Source organism: Homo sapiens, chromosome 17 (genome assembly GCF_000001405.40).
Source record: "Homo sapiens chromosome 17, GRCh38.p14 Primary Assembly".
In the NCBI taxonomy this organism is placed as follows: Eukaryota; Metazoa; Chordata; class Mammalia; order Primates; family Hominidae; genus Homo; species Homo sapiens.
This window is the reverse complement of record NC_000017.11, coordinates 18,275,563-18,295,234: the sequence shown is the minus strand read 5'-3', so window position 1 is coordinate 18,295,234 and position 19,672 is coordinate 18,275,563. Positions and strand designations below refer to the sequence as shown.

The 19,672-nt window shown below is 49.0% G+C and overlaps 1 protein-coding gene across 5 annotated transcripts in view; it reads left to right on the top strand.

The window, feature by feature from the left end:
• TOP3A (DNA topoisomerase III alpha) overlaps nt 1-19,672 on the top strand; it is a 43,567-nt gene that overhangs the window by 19,760 nt on the left and 4,135 nt on the right. For 4 of the 5 annotated variants that reach the window (NM_001320759.2, NM_004618.5, XM_047436634.1 and 1 more), the window contains 9 exons: nt 450-532; nt 2,383-2,590; nt 4,208-4,393; nt 4,549-4,678; nt 9,715-9,828; nt 9,928-10,093; nt 12,394-12,537; nt 14,577-14,699; nt 16,878-17,560. In NM_001320759.2, the coding sequence (NP_001307688.1) occupies nt 450-532; nt 2,383-2,590; nt 4,208-4,393; nt 4,549-4,678; nt 9,715-9,828; nt 9,928-10,093; nt 12,394-12,537; nt 14,577-14,699; nt 16,878-17,560 (1,837 nt within the window). Of the gene's footprint in view, nt 1-449; nt 533-2,382; nt 2,591-4,207; nt 4,394-4,548; nt 4,736-9,714; nt 9,829-9,927; nt 10,094-12,393; nt 12,538-14,576; nt 14,700-16,877; nt 17,561-19,672 lie in introns of those variants that run through there. The other variant, XM_047436635.1, reaches the window with a different exon arrangement.

Here is a 19,672-nt window from a genome sequence, read left to right as displayed (position 1 = left end):
GTTGCAGTGGGCCGAGATCATGCTACTGCACTCCAGCCTAGGCGACAGGGCGAGACTCCGTCTCAAAAAAAAAAATGTGGAGTTTGGGCTGGATATGGTAGCTCACGCTTGTGATCCTAGCATTTTGGGAGGCCAAGGCGGGAGGATTGCTTGAGGCCAGGAGTTCAAGATCAGCCTGCGCAACATAGCACCTTCCCCAGTGGTCAGGGCCCCAAATCTGCTGGCTTCCCAGTTGAGTCCTGCACACATTAAAGTCTGAGAACCACTAGGCTAGGATCTGACTCTGCTTGGCAGGCCCAGAAATCGTTGTTGGGCAGCCTTTTCAGCTCTGTTTGACAGAAGCACCTGGAGTGACACGGGCCAGATTTGACTGAAGATGAGTTGTGTATTTGAGTTGTGCTGCCTGACCCATGCAGTACACCTAACATGCCTGTTGACCCATTTCACAGGAGCTTGAGAAGCTGGCTTCTCGAAAGTTGAGAATAAATGCTAAAGAAACCATGAGGATTGCTGAGAAGCTCTACACTCAAGGGTAAGTATTTTGGGTTTGGGAGTAGAATTTGAACCGTCTTTATCAGGATGAAATATTTGAGAAATAGAGTTTATGGGTTGGGCACGGTGGCTCACACCTGTAATCCCATCACTTTGGGTGGCTGAGGCGGGCAGATCACGAGGTCAAGAGATCAAGACCATCCTGGCCAACATGGTGAAATCCCATCTGTATTAAAAATACAAAAATTAGCTGGACGTGGTGGCGTGCGCCTGTAGTCCCAGCTACTGGGGAGGCTGAGGCAGGAGAACCGTTTGAACCCAGGAGGCGGAGGTTGCAGTGAGGTGAGATCACACCGCTGCACTCCAGCCTGGTGAGTGAGTGAGACTCCATCTCAAAAAAAAAAGGAAAAAGAAAGAAATAAAGAAATAAGAGTTTATGGGGAAAAACTGATTGTCTAGATAGCACCCAAGCTCTGAGGTAGGATTTTGACTTTGACTTCTCTTTTCTGATACAGAAAAGGTGTTTCTATGTAAAAACCCATAGAGTAGATTCAGATCTTACTTTTGACTCCTCAGCCATCTCCCTGTGGCCCTGGCAAGTGGCAGACAGTGGGTGGCACCTTTAAAAGTTGTTTGCCTGTGAAACTCCTCCCCGCCCCAGTCATATACACCCCAGCACTGAGGTCCTCTAACTGTGCTGTCCAGCCTGCAGCTATTGAGCAGTTGAAATTCAAGTTGTCCAAATTGGGATGCGCTATAGATGTAAAATATACATTGGGTTTTGAAGACTTCTATGAAATAGAATGTAATCTCAGTAACTTAAGTGACTAATTGAAAATTTTAAATTATGCTGGGCGTGGTGGCTCACGCCTGTAATCCTAGCACTTTGGGAGGCCGAGGTGGGTGGATCATGAGGTCAGGAGTTCGAGACCAGCCTGGCCAACATGGTGAAACCCCATCTCTACTAAAAATACAAAAATTAGCCAGGTGTGGTGGCAGGCACCTGTAATCCCAGCTACTTAGGAGGCTGAGGCAAGAGAATTGCTTGAACCCGGGAGGCAGAGGTTGTACTGAGCTGAGATCACGCCACTGCACTCCAGCCTGGGTGACACAGCAAGACTCCGTCTCTTGGGGGGAAACAAAAATTACAAATAGAGACTGGGTATGTTGGGTCACACCTGAAATCTGAGCACTTTGGGAGGCCTAGGCAGGAGGATCACTTGAGCTCAGGAGTTCAAGACCGACCTGAGCAACATGACAAAACCCTGTCTCTACAAAAAAAAAAAAAAATTAGCCAGGCATGGTGCCACACACTTGTAGTCCCAGCTATTCAGGAGGCTGAGGCAGGAGGATCACTTTAGCTTGGGAGACGGAGGCCACAGTGAGCCAAGCTTGCGCTGCTACACTCCAGCCTGGGTGCCACAGCAAGACTATCTCAAAAATGAAAAAGAAAAAACAAATAGAGTCCACATTACAGTTTATCGGACAGCATTGTTCTTTGTGTACTCTAAGAAAAGTCTTGAAGCACACGCTGGTGGAACTTGTCAGGGTCAGTGAGTCTCATGTGCTGCATCAGGGCTGGTCTGTCAGACTGACCCTCAGAGTGGCCAGTGACAAGCCCCAGGCTATGAGGCTGCTGGCCTTTTTCCTGTGCTGTGCTGCCCCTTTTGGCTTCTTTGAGTGTGCTAGCAGGAGAGCCAGCTGCTTTTCATCCCATGAGGGGGTGCATCTCATCTCAGAACTTTTCTGAAGCAGGTAATGTAGGCTGCCTTCAGTTGAGTTGGCTACATCAGATGAGTGTTTGCAGGTGTTAGTGTGTGCTTTCAGTTGTTTATAGACCAATCAGAGAGCCTAGCAATTTCTTTTTCTGTTTGTTTGCCTTGGTTTTAGGTACATCAGCTATCCCCGAACAGAAACAAACATTTTTCCCAGAGACTTAAACCTGACGGTGTTGGTGGAACAGCAGACCCCCGATCCACGCTGGGGGGCCTTTGCCCAGAGCATTCTAGAGCGGGGTGGTCCCACCCCACGCAATGGGAACAAGTCTGACCAAGCTCACCCTCCCATTCACCCCACCAAATACACCAACAACTTACAGGTTGGTTTCCCTGAATGTACTGCCTGCTGGAACCCATAGGGAAGTGCTGGGGGTCAGTAGTAAGGTTTGAATTTACTCTGTGGGCTGTGATTGTAAAAACAAGTGATTTTGAGATCTCTCTCATTTCACAATCCTCTGCCTGGCTTTGATAAAGACCGCCTCATCCCTCCCCGTGGTGGGCCCCCGTCTTAATCCAGCTCCACATCCCACTCTCCATCAGCTCCTGCTGCTTCCCTGCTAGTCCTTCATAGGCAACCCCTGTGCAGACCCCCACCTCCACTGTGAGCCTTGTGGCCTTCCCAGTCCCTGGAACTAGAGAATTCTATCCATCCTCCCAAGGCTGGCTCAGTTTTGGTTGCCTCCTGAAACTTTGCTGCCACCCCAGTCGTGCCACCCCCTGTCACTGCAGTTTCCCACACAGCTCTGCTTGTCTGTCTCAGTCATTTCCTCAGCCAGGGGCAGGCTCTGCAGGCACAGGAGCCATTAGGCTTGTTTACATCTGTAGGCTTCTCACAAAGTTGGGGAAATGCTTGTTTACATCTGTAGGCTTCTCACAAAGCTGGGGAAATCTTAGTCTTTTGTTCTTCTCCTCCTTCTTTTAATAAAATACATTCTTTCTGATTTTAAAAATATGGCCGGACGCGGTGGCTTATGCTTGTAATCCCAACACTGTGGGAGGACAAGGCGGGTAGATCACGAGGTCAGGAAATTGAGACCATCTTGGCCAACATGGTGAAACCCCATCTCTACTAGAAATAGAAAAATTAGTTGGACGGGGTGGCATGTGCCTGTAGTCCCAACTCTCAGGAGGCTGAGGCAGGAGAATCGCTTGAACCCAGGAGGCGGAGGTTGCAATAAGCCGAGATTGCACCACTGCACTCCAGCCTGGCGACAGAGTGAGACTCTGTCTCGGAAAAAAAAAAATTACATGTTCATTTTAGACAAATTAAGAAATACAAAAGTTTATAAGGGGGTAAAATTGCCTATTAAGCATGATATTTAACAATTACAAAGATGTGCCATAATTTATTTTGCCAAATCTGTTTTTTGTGTGTTTTTGATACTATAGTTAACATTTGTAGACATAAATATTTTTGTGGTTCTCCAGTTATTTCCTTTGAAGAAATCCTTAGAAGGGGAATTATTGGATATGTGTATAAATGTCTCATGGGCTTTTGATAGACTGAGGCTCACTAAATCATTGATTACCTAATTGAAAATTACCCTGAAAATTACTGCTTAAATGTGTGCATGAAGTTGGGCTAAGGCCACCAGGTGCAATGTTGCTGTCTCTTGTATTTGAGGAGTGTCTTGCTAACTTCTTACGCTTTCATCTTGTTTTCTGCTTAGATTGCGTTTACATCAAAGAACCACTTCCCAGTCTGGAAGGGAAGATGACTCCTTTGCTTATCTTTGCCAGATTTGAGTTGTGAGATGTGTCAACCTAAACCCATCCTCTCCCCAGGACTTGTTTGCCTGGCACTCCATGTTAGTGCAGGGCCTGAGGAGCAGTGTGGCCTCTTCTGTGCAGGACATTAGGCTAAGGCTACCAGTGATGCTCCTGTCCTTGAGAGGTGATATTCTAGGGGGAGTTTCGTACTCCTCTTTTCTTCCTAGGGAGATGAACAGCGACTGTACGAGTTTATTGTTCGCCATTTCCTGGCTTGCTGCTCCCAGGATGCTCAGGGGCAGGAGACCACAGTGGAGATCGACATCGCTCAGGAACGCTTTGTGGCCCATGGCCTCATGATTCTGGCCCGAAACTATCTGGATGTGTATCCATATGATCACTGGAGTGACAAGGTAATAAAGAGTGGTCCCCAGTGAGAGGGAGGACAGTTGTGTTGTGAGCCCTGAGTTCTCTAGTGGAGCAGGATCATGTTCCTTGAAATGAGGTTATTTTTTGCCTGAGTGTGCTGATGGAATCATCTGACTGTTGCACCTGCCGCTCCCTGTAGATCCTCCCTGTCTATGAGCAAGGATCCCACTTTCAGCCCAGCACCGTGGAGATGGTGGACGGGGAGACCAGCCCACCCAAGCTGCTCACCGAGGCCGACCTCATTGCCCTCATGGAGAAGCATGGCATTGGTCAGTGGCTCCTCTGGGTAACTCGCATCTCTTGAGCTAAGGCTTACAGTGTACCAGGTACAGGTTTCCTCTAGTCTTCAAACCATTCTCTAATGCAGCTGCTATATCTTTATCCCATTTTATAGTTGAAATAAGGCTCAGAGAGGTTAAGAACTTACCTAAGTTCACAAAGTGTGTATTATTAAAACCTGGTCTGAATAACTCCACAGTCAGTGCTCTTAAACCATGCACTGTGCTGTCCACATAGTAACAGAGACTTTTCCCATGGCTTTGAGGGCCCAACTGGGAGCACCCATTGGCCACATGAGGATTTGTTGTTCTTTCGAATAAGAACAGCATGTAAGGAACCAACAATTAAAACTTGGGACAGTTATCATAAAATCTATCTTCATTTTGAAGTGTCAGATAGAGCCCTGAGCCTCCTTCCCATGTGGAGCATTGGGTGAGGGTGGCAGCTGTCTCTGCAGGTCTGAACCCACACTGCTCACTCAGGCTGCTCACGCTGGCCTCATGTATGTGCCAGGACCCTGCTGATAAGTCCCATGGCTCAAGCTTTGCAGGTAGGGCCTTGTAACTAATCTGCTGTCCCCTCCATTCGTTTTTGTCAAGGCTCTCAAGGGCTTTCTCTGGCAAACCTAGTCCAGGAATACCTGCAGCACAGTGGAGGGGAAGCAGAGCTCCCTGGGCATGTGTTACATAAGCAGCTGCGTCATCCACAAAGGGAGTTTCTTAGGCCTATGACTTGGGAAGCAGTGCTTCAACGTGAAGTCCTTGACCATCACTAGGACATCCAGAAACCCTGCAGGTTTAGGTAAAATTAGTAGAGGTTCACCCGTCATGATTTATTTGATAAAAATGTATGAAGGCTGGGTGTGGTGGCTCACACCTGTAATCCCAGCATTTTGGGAGGCCAAGATGGGTGAATCACTTGAGCCCAGGAATTCAAGACCAGCTTGGGCAACACGGTAAAACCCCATCTTGCTGGGCGCAGTGGCTCACGCCTGTAATCCCAACACTTCAGGAGGCTGAGCTGGGTGGATCACCTGAGGTAGGGAGTTTAAGACCACCAACCTGACCAACATGGTGAAACTCTGTCTCTACTAAAAATACAAAAATTAGCCAGGCATGGCGGTGGGCACCTGTAGCTGAGATTGTGCCATTGTACTCCAGCCTGGGCAACAACAGCAAAACTCTGTCTTAAAACAAACAAACAAACAACAACAACAACAACAAAACAGATCTGGCTGGGCACGGTGACTCATGCCTGTAATCTTAGTACTTTGGGAGGCCAAGGCGGGTGGATCACCTAAGGTCAGGAGTTCGAGACCAGCCTGGCCAACATGGCAAAACCCCATCACTACTAAAAAAATACAAAAATTAGCTAGGCGTGGTGGCACATGCCTGTAATCCCAGCTACTTGGGAGGCTGAGGCAGGAGAATTGCATGAACCCGGGAGGTGGAGGATGCAGTGAGCCAGGATCGCAGCACTGCACTCCAGCCTGGGTGACAGAGTGAGACTCCATCTCAAAAAAAACATTTCTACAAAAAATTAGGTGCATGCCTATAGGTAGGGAGGCTGAGGTGGGAGGATCACTTGAGCCCGGAAGGCAGAGACTGAGGTACAAAGTGTGAGGCCCACAAGAGTGAGAGCTTGGACTAAGCACCAGGGACACAAGGAGGAATAAGACCTCATTTTTTAAGTTCTCAATCTAACAGAAGAACCAAACCAACACATTGAATACAATGTAATAGTTCTGCAGGGAGTAGGCAGGGAAGAAAATGTGATGGGTGGACTGGCATTTGAGCTGGACCAAAACCTCATAGTAAGACTTCTGGATCAGCGAAGGGCAGCCCAGTGCAGGGTAGGCCTGAGGAAGGGCACAGGAGCAGGAAAGCAGAAGCCTGCTGTAGCTGGATTGGAGGGGGGTGGCCATAGAAGGTGAGCCTGGAAAGATGATCCAAGCCTGACTTTGCAGGGCCTTGGCTTGCCCAGTTGAAGGGCTTAGATGGTGGTACATGGTCAGCAGGGAGTCTTCCAGGATTTCTAAGTAAAGGAACCACATAGAGGTACACTTACAAAAAAATAATAATAATATTTTTAAAAGATTATTAACAGGCTGGGCATTGTGTCTCACACCTATAATCCCAGCACTTTGGGAGACCAAGGTAGGGGGTCAGGAGTTCAAGACCAGCCTGGACAACATGGTGAAACTCCATCTCTACTAAAAATACAAAAAATTGCTAGGTGTTATGGCTGACGCCTGTAATCCCAGCTACTTAGGAGGCTGAGGCAGGAGAATTGCTTGAACCCGGGAGGTGGAGGTTGCAGTGAGCCAAGATTGTGCCACTGCACTTCAGCCTTGGTGACAGAGAGAGACTCCATCTAAAAAAAAAAAAAAAAAAAATTTATATATATATATATATAATTATTAACAGCTTTATTTATATACCATACAGTTTATCTCCTTCAAATGTATAATGTACATTTTTTAGCATATTCACAAAGTTGTGCAGCTATCACCACAGTCAGTTTTTTTGTTTTTTTTGTTGTTTGTTTGAGATGGAGTTTTGCTCTTGTTGCTGCAGGCTGGAGTGGAGTGGCACAATCTCTGCTCACTGCAACTTCCGCCACCCAGGTTCAAGCGATTCTCCTGTCTCAGCCTCCCGAGTAGCTAGGCTTACAGGCACGCACCACCACACCCAGCTAATTTTTGTTATTTTTAGTAGAGACAGGGTTTCACCATGTTGGCCAGGTTGGCTGGTCTCAAACTCCTGACCTCATGATCCGCCCACCTAGGCCTCCCAAAGTGTTAGGATTACAGGTGTTAGCCACCATGCCCGGCCCCTAAAAAAATTTGTTTTGGAGAGATAGCATCTTACTCTGTCACCCAGGCTAGGTCACAGCCATGAACCCTGGGTTTCAAGGGATCCTTCCACCTCAGCTTCCCAAGTAGCTGGGACTACAGGCATGTGTTGCCATACCCAGCTAATTTTTTTGTTGGGTTTTTTGTTTGTTTGTTTTGTTTTGTTTGAGACAGAGTCTTACTCTGTCACCCAGGCTGGAGTGTAGTGGCACGATTTCAGCTCACTGCAACCTCCGCCTCCCAGGTTCAAGAGATTCTCCTGCCTCAGCCTCCTGAGTAGCTGGGACTACAGGTGCGCATCACTGGCTAATTTTTGTATTTTTAGTAGAGATGGGGTTTCACTGTTAGCTAAGCTGGTCTCGAATTCCTGACCTCAAATGATCCACCCGCCTCGGTCTCCCAAAGTGCTGGGATTATAGGCCTGAGCCACCATGCCCAGCCAGACTTTTTTGTTTTATGTAGGGACAGGGTCTTGCTATGTTGCCTAGTCTGGTCTTGAACTTGCACCCTCAAACTGTCCTCCTACCTCAACCTCCCAAAGTGTTGGGATTACAGGAGTGAGCCACTGCACCTGGCCAGATTTGCCTACTTTAGTTATTTCCTATAAAGAGCCAGGCACAGTGGCTCACACCTGTAATCCCAGCACTTTGGGAGGCCAAGGTGGGCCAATCACTTGAGGTCAGGAGTTCGAGACCAGCTTCACCAACATGGTGAAACACTTTCTCTACTAAAAATGAAAAAATTAGCTGGGCTTGGTGGCAGGCGCCTGTAATCCCAGCTACTCGGGAGGCTGAGGCAAGAGAATCACTTGAACCCGGAAGGCAGAGGTTGCAGTTGATGGACACTTGAGTTGTTTCTACTCTTTGGCTATTATAAATAATCCTGCTGTGAACAGTTTTGTACAAGGTTTTGTGTGGATATGTGTTTTCATTTCTCTTGGGTAGACTTAGGAGTGGGATTGCTGGTTTACTTGGTAACTCTACATTTAACATTTTTAGGAACCACCAAACTTTTCTGAAGTGGCTGTACCGTTTTTCATTTCCACCAGCAAGGCACTAGGATTCCAGTTTATCCACATCCTTACTAACACTTAGTATTATCTCTCTTTTTGATTTTGCCAGTAGGTCTGAACTGCTATTTCACTGGTTTTTTTGGTTGTTTTTTTGTTGTTATTGTTGAGGTGGAGTCTCGCTCTGTTGCCCAGGCTGGAATGCAGTGGCTCGATCTCCGCTCACTGCAGGCTCCGCCTCCCAGGTTCATGCCATTCTTCTGTGTCAGCCTCCTGAGTAGCTGGGACTACAGGTGCCCGCCACCACACCCGGCTAATTTTTTTTTTTTTTTTTTTGTATTTTTAGTAGAGACGGGGTTTCACCGTGTTAGCCAGGATGGTCTTGATCTCCTGACCTCGTGATCTGCCCGCTTCGGCTTCCCAAATTGCTGGGATTACAGGCGTGAGCCACCACGCCCAGCCCTTTTTTTTTTCTTTTTTTTTTTAAAGAGAGTCTCACTCCATCACCCAGGCTGGAGTGCAACGGTGCCATCTCAGCTCGTTGCAGCCTCTGTCTCCTGGGTTCAAGTGATTCTCCTGCCTCAGCCTCCTGAGCAGCTGGGACTACAGGTGCGTGCCGCCACACCCTGCTAATTTTTGTATTTTTGATAGAGACAGGGTTTCAGCATGTTGGCCAGGCTGGTCTCGAACTCCTGACCTCAGATGATCTGCCCACCTTGGCCTCCCAAAATGCTGGGATTACAGGCATAAGCCACTGCTCCCAGCCTTCACTGCAGTTTTAATTTGCATTTCCTTCATGGCAGAGCTACATTTTGAAAGGTCCCTTTGGCCACAGCTTAAAGAATGGTTAGGGTAGAGGAAGAGACTAGAAATAGGGACACAAGCTGCAAGTATGGCTTGGACACATGGGGAAGAGAATTTTTAAAAAGAGCTTTGAAGCTGGAATTGACAGCTTTCCTGAGTAATGGGATGTGAGGGAACAAGAGAGTTGAGGTTGCCATTGTGATTTCTTGAATGAGCTATATGGGAATGAAATGAAGGCATCTTACCTGCATAGGCTGTCCAGGCAAAGGAGGGATTCCGGGGTGAGCAAGGTGCCCATGCGCCACCCGGGTGGAGCTGTTGTCTGTATTACCTCAGAGTAACCAGCAAGTGGCTTCCAGGTACGGATGCCACTCATGCGGAGCACATCGAGACCATCAAAGCCCGGATGTACGTGGGCCTCACCCCAGACAAGCGGTTCCTCCCTGGGCACCTGGGCATGGGACTTGTGGAAGGTAAGGGAGGACAGAGCTTGCAGTGGGTAGTGGGTGGTGTCGCCCAAGTCCCTGAGGGTCTCAGGTGGGCCCTCACTGAGCTCGACTCTCTCCCTGCAGGTTATGATTCCATGGGCTATGAAATGTCTAAGCCTGACCTCCGGGCTGAACTGGAAGCTGATCTGAAGCTGATCTGTGATGGCAAAAAGGACAAATTTGTGGTTCTAAGGCAGCAAGTGCAGAAATACAAGCAGGTTTTCATTGAAGCGGTGGCTAAAGCAAAGAAGTAAGTCCTTAAAAGAAATACAGAGGGGTCTCACTATGTTGCCCAGGCTGGTCTTGAACTCCTGGCCTCAAGAGATCTTCCCACCTCAGCCTCCCAAAGTGTGGGGATTACAGGCGTGAGCCACCGCATCTGGGCCAGTCAGAGTTTATAACCCTGCCAGATTCATCCTCACCAGTGGCCTCCTGGCCTGGAGGTTTTCCACATACCCCTTTTCTTTGGACTTTCTTCTCTGGGTTCTTTTACAACTCTCCATAGAGCTTTGTCAGTATAGAAACAGTAATCGGAACAGTCTCCTTCAGTTATTCTGAACTATTGGCTTTAGAAATACCATTCTCTTGATTTTAATTATCTTTTTTTTTTCTGCTTTAATTACATGACACATTAATTATCTTGAGTTAGGCAACAAAGTCTTTTAAATCAGTAAACCCAAGTGCTGGAGTGTGATCCATTTGTTTTCTGGAGCATTTAGAGGTGGATATTTAGCAAGCAGCATGTGTGTATTTTGTTAGAAATGATGTGTTTTCTACCTGTGATATTATGATTTATAATAAGATATATATATTTGGACTTCATTTTCTGATACCCTTGGAATTTTTTAAGTGCTGTGTCTGTTGTATACAAATGAGATGACTAGTGGCCAAGGGCTCCTGGGTAGCCTTGGGATCGGTCTGGTTGTCAGGGAACCAACCCTGTGATTAGAAGGTTGGGACTTTGAGTCCCACCCCTACCTCAGGAAGAGCAGAGGGGCTGGAGGTTGAGTTGATCACACGTGGCCAGTGATTTGTCAATCATGCCTAAGTAATAAATCCTCCATAAAATCCCCAAACAAGGGTCAGGCACGGTGGCTCACGCCTGTAATCCCAGCACTTTGGGAGGCCGAGGCGGGTAGATCACAAGGTCAGGAGTTCAAGACCAGCCTGGCCAACACAGTGAAACCCCTTTCTCTGCTAAAAAAAAAAAAAAAAAATACAAAAATTAGCCAGGCATGGTGGTGCGTACCTGTAGTCCCAGCTACCTGGGAGGCTGAGGCAGGAGAACTGCTTGAACCCGGAAGGTGGAGGTTGCAATGAGCCGAGATTGCCCCACTGCAGTCCAGCTTGGGCAACAGAGTGAGACTTCTTCAACAACAACAAAAACAAATCAAACAATTGGGTTTGGGGCACATCCAAATAGCTAAACAGGTAAAGACTCCTGGAGGGTGGGTGTTTGGGAGAGGGCATGGAAGCTACCCCTTCCCCACATCCCTTGCCCTGTGCATTGCTTCCATCTGGGTATTCACCTGGATCCTTTGTAATTAACGGGTAAGCATAAGTAAAGTGTTTCCCTGAGCTCTGTGAGCCACTCTATTGAGAATCAAACCAAGGAGGGGGTCTGAGGAACCCCAGTTTATAGCCAGTCAGTCAGAAGCACAGGTCACAGCCTGGGATTTGTGACTGACATCTGAGGGAATTTGGGGCAGCAGTCTTCTGGGACTGAGCCCTTAACCGTTAGATGGATCTCCAGGTGCATAGTGTCAGAATTGAATTGAATTAGAGGATGTCCAACTGGTGTGTGGCGGGAGAGTTGCTTGGTGTATGGGGAAAACTCCCATACATCTGGTGTCTGATGTGTGTTGTGAGACTGTAATAGAAGATAACAGTTTGTTATTTTCTGTTCTTTAGAGTACCCCATGCCAGTTGTGAAAAGGCAGGCATGAGCTAGTTTAGACTTAATACAGACAGACACTCCTGGAGTTTGTACATGGACCCTGTGCAGTTTTACTTTTTTTTTTTGAGATGGAGTTTCGCTCTTGTTGCCCAGGCTAGGGTGCAATGGCGTGATCTTGGCTCACCACAACCTCTGCCTCCTGGGTTCAAGCGATTCTCCTGCCTCAGCCTCCTGAGTAGCTTGGATTACAGGCATGCGCCACCATGCCTGGCTAATTTTGTATTTTTAGTAGAGACGGGGTTTCACCATGTTGGTCAGGCTGGTCTCGAAATTACAACCTCAGGTGATCCGCCCGCCTCGGCCTGGGATTACAGGCGTGAGCCACCACATTTGGCCCAGTTTTACTTTTTAATGTGGGCTGGTGACAAGCAGAAGCATCTGCCTGTATCTGGACTCTCCTCCCAAGAGTTGGTTCGGCACCAGGGCCCATGGTGAGCTCAGTCTTCTGTCTGCCGTCTGTTCTCTGCAGGAGGCCTGCGGCTCACTGACCAGCTGGTTCTCAAGGTCACGCCTGTTGTGTGCATGTAAGAGTGTTGTAGGTGCCTTTGCAGCGATTGCTGGCTGATGGGTGTCTGTCTTTGCCTTTTCTTCAGATTGGACGAGGCCTTGGCCCAGTACTTTGGGAATGGGACAGAGTTGGCCCAGCAAGAAGATATCTACCCAGCCATGCCAGAGCCCATCAGGAAGTGCCCACAGTGCAACAAGGACATGGTCCTTAAGACCAAGAAGAATGGCGGGTGAGTGCGCTGCCTTCTGCCCCCACCTCTGCTCCCCAGCACCTGCGGTGTCAGCCGTAGCTCGAAAGACCCTGCCATTTCACTCCATGGAATCTTTCAAGACAGGCCTGTTGTTGCCAACCTGCAGGCAAGGTGTTGGCCTAAAAGCATAGCAGGGTGGGATCAGGCCTTTGAGGTGTAAAGCACTATGGGAATTCAGAGCAGGTGAGAAACTGAATGATAGTGGGGTTTTTTTGTCCCCTGTGGATAGGACATCATATACCCAATGTGTAACACATGGAGGAGCATGAGCTTCAGATCTAGGTGGGTCTGGGTTCAAATGCCACTTATGCCGCATATAAGTGGTGTGGCCTGAAGCAAGTTACTTACCTGCTCTGAACCCCAATTTCTTCTTTTATAAAATGTCAGTACTTACAAGGCTGTGTTAAGGGTGAGGATTTGGTGAAAATGGTCAGGACTATATAGCACATTGCCTGATGTGTTGTAGATACTCAGCAGATACTACTTTTGTTCTCTCCTAGTTTTAGTTCTGAATGGGGCCTGAAAATCTCAACTCCCTTTTCGCTTTAAATATAGTAGATCTGAGTGGGCAATTTAGCTTCACATCAGGTTGTTGGAGCCAGTGGCTGGCCACTGGAGGAAGTTCACGGGGAAAGACGAGGTGGAGGGGTGGCAGCCATCATTCATCAGGTGCCGTCCCTCACTGGTGTAATGCAGGGTGGTGCTCTGTAAGCATTACCTCATCCCATTCTCCTAACTACCCTGCAAGGCAGGGATTTTTATGCAGCTTAGAGGGCTGAGGTGCTTGCTTGGAGTCAAGCAGCCGTGGTGGGCAGCAGAGTTTGAAACCGGGTTTTCACTGCCTTTTTCCATCCTGCCTGGCCCACCTGGGACTGCTGTGCTCCTTGCTGCTGAATAAGAAAGGAGGTTTCTCAACTCCTCACCTCCAGCCATCATTAACCTGGCTGGCCCAAGTGAAGAGAAGGCCACCCAGGCTCTCAGAAACAAGAGGTCTATGGGCCAGACCTGGAAGCAGGTGTCAGGGCTCGCGTCACTCACAGACAGAAGCCAGTGCCACTCTAGGCTTAGCCCAATGACTGGGCGTATATTTCAGCACTTAATAAATGCTGTCGATGGGTTTTCCTTGCTATCGGTAGGTTATTGGATTAGTACTCATTGGAATATAAGGAGAGAGAATAACTACTTTTGTTTTAGCTCTGAATTCTCCAATTCTCTGAATTGGAGAATTATTATTATTCTTTAGTTATTCGTTTGTTCTTCTGTTATTCTTTTGTAATGCTTCTCTGAGTTACTCCAGAAGGTCAGGAGATTATCTTGTGGGATTTGCCACTCCATGATTTATCTGTTAATTTCCATTTCTGAGATTGTAAATTTCTTATTTAAATGATTGGAGTTCGGGGCTTTTTTTTCCTTCATAGTGTACCCAGGCACACTCATGAGGAATTTGTAAATCACATGCATATTAGCTAGTCAAACCCTAACGTTTCATGACTGCAAGGTGTTGAAAAACATTGGCCAGGAGAGACCGGGATGGGATGGATGGGCAGTGGGTGGGGTGTAGATGTTGCAGGTGAGGCTTTGTCACAAACAGATGGGTTTCCATTCCTGGCTCCCATCCACACATGCATGCATGTCTCTGGGCAGGTTTCCAGGCCACACCAAGCCACTGTTTACTCACATGCAAACTGAGGGGGCCCCTGACACTGCCCAGACTTGGCACGAGGCAGAAAGGCAAGAATGTGTGAGTGCACAGCACAGAGCCCCTGGCGTCAGCTTGGTTGGTTGTTGGTTTTCTAAATAGAAAGCAGGGCCAGCAATAGCTGCTTTGTGCTTTTGGGATGTGAGAAGGCTCATTTTTCCCAATCAATTCAATATGAGTGCTTGTGTATCCAGTTAAGTGTCATCCAGAAAAGGGAATGTTGTCCTCGGGCAGCTGAGGAAAGGCTGCCTTAGCTGATGGCCAACAGCGGAGAGCATCTCCTGCACTCCTATCATCTGACATGGCACTTTGTCCCCAGGTTCTACCTCAGCTGCATGGGTTTCCCAGAGTGTCGCTCAGCTGTGTGGCTTCCTGACTCGGTGCTGGAGGCCAGCAGGGACAGCAGTGTGTGTCCAGTTTGTCAGCCACACCCTGTGTACAGGTGAGCTGGGCACCTGAGTCAGGTGCCTCCTCTGGAGTGTGTACACCATCTTTCCCTTGCTCCTGCCAGAACCCAGAGAGGAGTGTCGGGGATTCCACTCAGGCCCTGCAGGGGCGTAGCTGTGTTCTGCAGCAGCCAGTTCAGCAGGGCTGGTCCAGTTCTGTTGTGTTCCATGCTGTCACTGCTTTGGCAGGTATGACCCTGTTTGGAGTGGGCCATGGGCAAAGAACCATGAAGGGCTCTTTCCCTGCCCTCTCCAGATAGATGATTGCTACACCAGGCTTAGGAAATTATTCACATATTAAATACAACATCCAAGCTTGGGCTACGTAGCAAGACCCCATCTCTTTAAAAAAAAAAATTTTTATTTAAAAAAAAATTTTTTTTAAGACAGTCTCGCTGGGTTGCCCAGGCTGAAGTGCAGTGGCGCAGTCTTGACTCACTGCAACCTCCGCCTTCTGGGTTGAAGTGATTCTTCTGCCTCAGCGTCCTGAGTAGCTGGGATTACAGGCATGCACCACTATGCCTGACCACTTTTTGTATTTTTAGTAGAGACAGGGTTTCACCATGTTGGCCAGGCTGGTCTCGAACTCCTGGCCCCAAGTGATCCACCCACCTTGGCCTCCCAAAGTGCTGGGATTATAGATGTGAGCCACTGCACCTGGCCAAAAAAAATTTTAAATTAGCCAGATGTGGTGACATATGCCTATAGGCCAAGCTGGTCAGGAGGCTGAGGCAGGAGGATCGCTTGATCCTAGAGGTCTAGGCTGTAGTGAGCCATGATTTCACCACTGCTCTCCAGCCTGGAATGACAGAGCCAGACCCTGTCTCTAGAAATAAATGAATAGGCCGAGCCTGGTGGCTCAGGCCTGTAATCCCAGCATTTTGGGAGGCCGAGACAGGCGGATCACGAGGACAGGAGATCGAGACCATCCTGGCTAACATGGTGAGACACTGTCTCTACTAAAAATACAAAAAATGGCCAGGCGTGGTGGCTCACGCCTGTAATCCCAACACTTTGGGAGGCCGAGGTGGGTGGATCACGAGGTCAGGAGATCGAGACCATCCTGGCTAACATGGTGAAACCCCGTCTCTACTAAAAATACAAAAAATCAGCCAGGCGTACTGGTGGGCGCCTGTAGTCCCAGCTACTCGGCAGGCTGAGGCAGGAGAATGGCGTGAACCCAGGAGGCAGAACTTTCAGTGAGCCGAGATTGCACCACTGCACACCAGCCTGGGCGACAGAATGATACTCTGTCTCAAAAAAAAAAATTTTAATAATTTATTTCTAGTAAATGCATTGCATACTACTGTAAATAACTTGTTTTTTAGGGTAATAAAATACCTATTTTCAAAAGCAAAATAATAATGACATTAATGACATTGTTTTACATTTTGCAATTTGTATGTCTGGCTTAATAGAAGAGAGCTGGATTCCCGTATCTGCTTCTGCAGTCAGCCTGCTGAGTCATTGCATGTGCTGGAACCTCCAGGAAACTCCGTTGTATACACATGGAAGAATAAGAGCAAAATAGACATAACCTCTTAGAATTTTTTTTGAGACAGAGTCTTGCTCTGTCACCAGGCTGGAGTGCAGTGGCACAATCTTGGCTCACTGCAACCTCTGACTCCCAGGTTCAAGAGGTTCTCCTGCCTCAGCCTCCCGAGTAGCTGGGACTACAGGCGCGTGCCACCATGCCCAGCTAATTTTTGTATTTTTGGTAGAGATGGGGTTTCACCATGTTGGTCAGGATGGTCTCAATCTCTTGATTTTGTGATCCGCCCGCCTCAGCCTCCCAAAGTGCTGGGATTACAGGTTTGAGCCACCACACCTGGCCTATAAAAGAGTTTTGCACTCTCCTTGAAAGGGCTCAGGCACCCTGGAACCACACTTGGAGAACTGCTGATACAGAGACATGGGACTTCTCAGAGGTGTTTTTATTTTAGTGAATTACTGGGATCTTAGATTTCATCTGCACTGTTTCCCACTGTCCACTCCTGTGATGACTGGTGGGGGCTTGTGGTGGGCTGATAGAGGGCCTCACAGGGGACTTGTGTGGGCTTCCTGATGCATAAGGAATGGTGGAGAGAGGCCTAGGGCTAAAGCAGCCCTCACTGGACTAAGGAGAAGCTGGCATCTGGTTGTTAATGTTTTTTCTCATCTTCTGGCCTCACTAGGTTAAAGTTAAAGTTTAAGCGCGGTAGCCTTCCCCCGACCATGCCTCTGGAGTTTGTTTGCTGCATCGGCGGATGCGACGACACCCTGAGGGAGATCCTGGACCTGAGATTTTCAGGGGGCCCCCCCAGGGCTAGCCAGCCCTCTGGCCGCCTGCAGGCTAACCAGTCCCTGAACAGGATGGACAACAGCCAGCACCCCCAGCCTGCTGACAGCAGACAGACTGGGTCCTCAAAGGCTCTGGCCCAGACCCTCCCACCACCCACGGCTGCTGGTGAAAGCAATTCTGTGACCTGCAACTGTGGCCAGGAGGCTGTGCTGCTCACTGTCCGTAAGGAGGGCCCCAACCGGGGCCGGCAGTTCTTTAAGTGCAACGGAGGTAGCTGCAACTTCTTCCTGTGGGCAGACAGCCCCAATCCGGGAGCAGGAGGGCCTCCTGCCTTGGCATATAGACCCCTGGGCGCCTCCCTGGGATGCCCACCAGGCCCAGGGATCCACCTAGGTGGGTTTGGCAACCCTGGTGATGGCAGTGGTAGTGGCACATCCTGCCTTTGCAGCCAGCCCTCCGTCACACGGACTGTGCAGAAGGATGGACCCAACAAGGGGCGCCAGTTCCACACATGTGCCAAGCCGAGAGAGCAGCAGTGTGGCTTTTTCCAGTGGGTCGATGAGAACACCGCTCCAGGTGAGGCAGGGAGGGGCATGGGAATCCCTGCCTTCAGTTTTCAGGTGTTTACCTCAGAGACTGGGGACAGCAGAAAGAAGGCAAGGCAGGGTCATGGTGGGATTGGGAGGGGCACCTGGGCTGCCTTGCACCTCACTTTTCCTCACTTGATCACTTTCAGCAAGGTGATAATTGTACAGTCCTCATTCCAAATTAAAGGGTAGCTACCAGTAATGGTGTCACTTGCCCTATGCCTGGCACTATGCTAAGTATACTTCCTGTGCATCTTCCATCCTCATTGGGTAAGCATTATGATCACAATTTTACTTATAAGTGAGAAAGGTGAGACCCAGACACATGAAGTGGGTATTGCTCAGGGTCCCATAGCAACAGACACCAGGATGAGTACATAGGCCTTCCCAGTCCCATGGCCATGTGCCCTTGCAGCTGTCGTGACCCTTGGCAGACCATAAGCATCAGCCTCATTTCTTTTTTTTTTTTTTTTTTTTTGGAGACTGAGTTTTGCTCTTGTTGCCCAGACTGGAGTGCAATGGTGCAATCTTGGTTCACTGCAACTTCCACCTCCCAGGTTCAAATGATTCTCCTGCCTCAGCCTCCCAGGTAGCTGGGATTACAGGCATGCACCACCACGCACAGCTAATTTTGTATTTTTAGTAGAGACGGGGGTTTCACCCTGTTGGTTAGGCTGGTCTCGAACTCCACCTCAGGTGATCCACCTGCCTTGGCCTCTCAAAGTGCTGGGATTACAGGCGTGAGCCACCGTGCCTGGCCCAGCCTCATTTCTTCAGATGAAGATGCCAACCCCGATGATATTTAGGAACCTGCCCAGGGTGACACAGCTTGGGCCAATGTCCGGGAACTGGGTGTCATGAGAAGTGGCACCTGGACATTGCATCAAGTTGAATGGTGTACGTGGAGGCACTTTGAATGGTTCCTCCTGCTCCAGTGCACAACAGAGCTTAAGTAGCTGAGAATGACCCAAAGGCCTAGTGGGAGCTTTGGAGTTGAGCAAATCTGGTTCCAAAGCTCAGCAGTATAACCTTGAACAAATGACTTAGCCTCTCTGCCTCAAGTTTGCTCAACAAGATGGTCCCTGCCTACATTCATAGGGTTCCTGTTTTAGAAAGGAGTTTAGTCTCAGACTATGATTCTTACACATGTGTCACTAGCCCGGCATGCACAGAAAGAAACCAGAGGTTTGGTAAAAACTGTGGGACTTGGAACTGGCTACCAGTGCTAATGGGGCCCAGAGATGGCCATTGCAGTGAGAGACCCACATTTGAAGTGAGATGCAGTCTGGCCTCTTGTCTCCCCACTTGGAAGGACATGGTATCTGACCTCCAGGCTGGCTGACTGACTGTCCTGGGTAAATGAGCAGCTGGTCTGGAAAGGCCTGTTGAGGGGACAGGAAGGGATCCAGAGCTGGACTTTCCTGCATGGAGGTGGGCCGCAGGTTGCCGGTCATAGGCTGCTTGTCTTTCCCACCCTACCACACAGGCCAGCTTGCTTGGGTTTCTGCCTCTGTAAAAAGGGCCGGCATGAAAGTCCACTTACCAAGTGAGTGTGGGACAATGTCTCCAAAGCTTAGGATTCTTGAGGGAGAGGTGTCAGGTAACATAAGGCAGCAGGCACATCGCACCTCAACCTTACAGAGTTGGACACAGTGTGAAGGGAGGCTGGCTGGTGGGGTGTACATGGCTGTATAAAAACTGATTCAGCCGGTCGGGCGCGGTGGCTCATGCCTGTAATCCCAGCACTTTGGGAGGCCGAGGCGGGTGGATCACGAGGTCAGGAGATCGAGACCATCCTGGCTAACACAGTGAAACCCCGTCTCTACTAAAAATACAAACAATTAGCCGGGCATGGTGGTCGGTCCCTGTAGTCCCAGCTACTCTCGGGAGGCTGAGACAGGACAATGGCGTGAACCCGGGAGGCGGAGCTTGCAGTGAGCCAAGATTGCACCACTGCATTCCAGCCTAGGCGACAGAGCCAGACTCCACCTCAAAAAAAAAAGGCCGGGCACGGTGGCTCACGCCTGTAATCCCAGCACTTCGGGAGGCCAAGGCGGGCGGATCACAAGGTTAGGAGATCGAGACCATCCTGGCTAACATG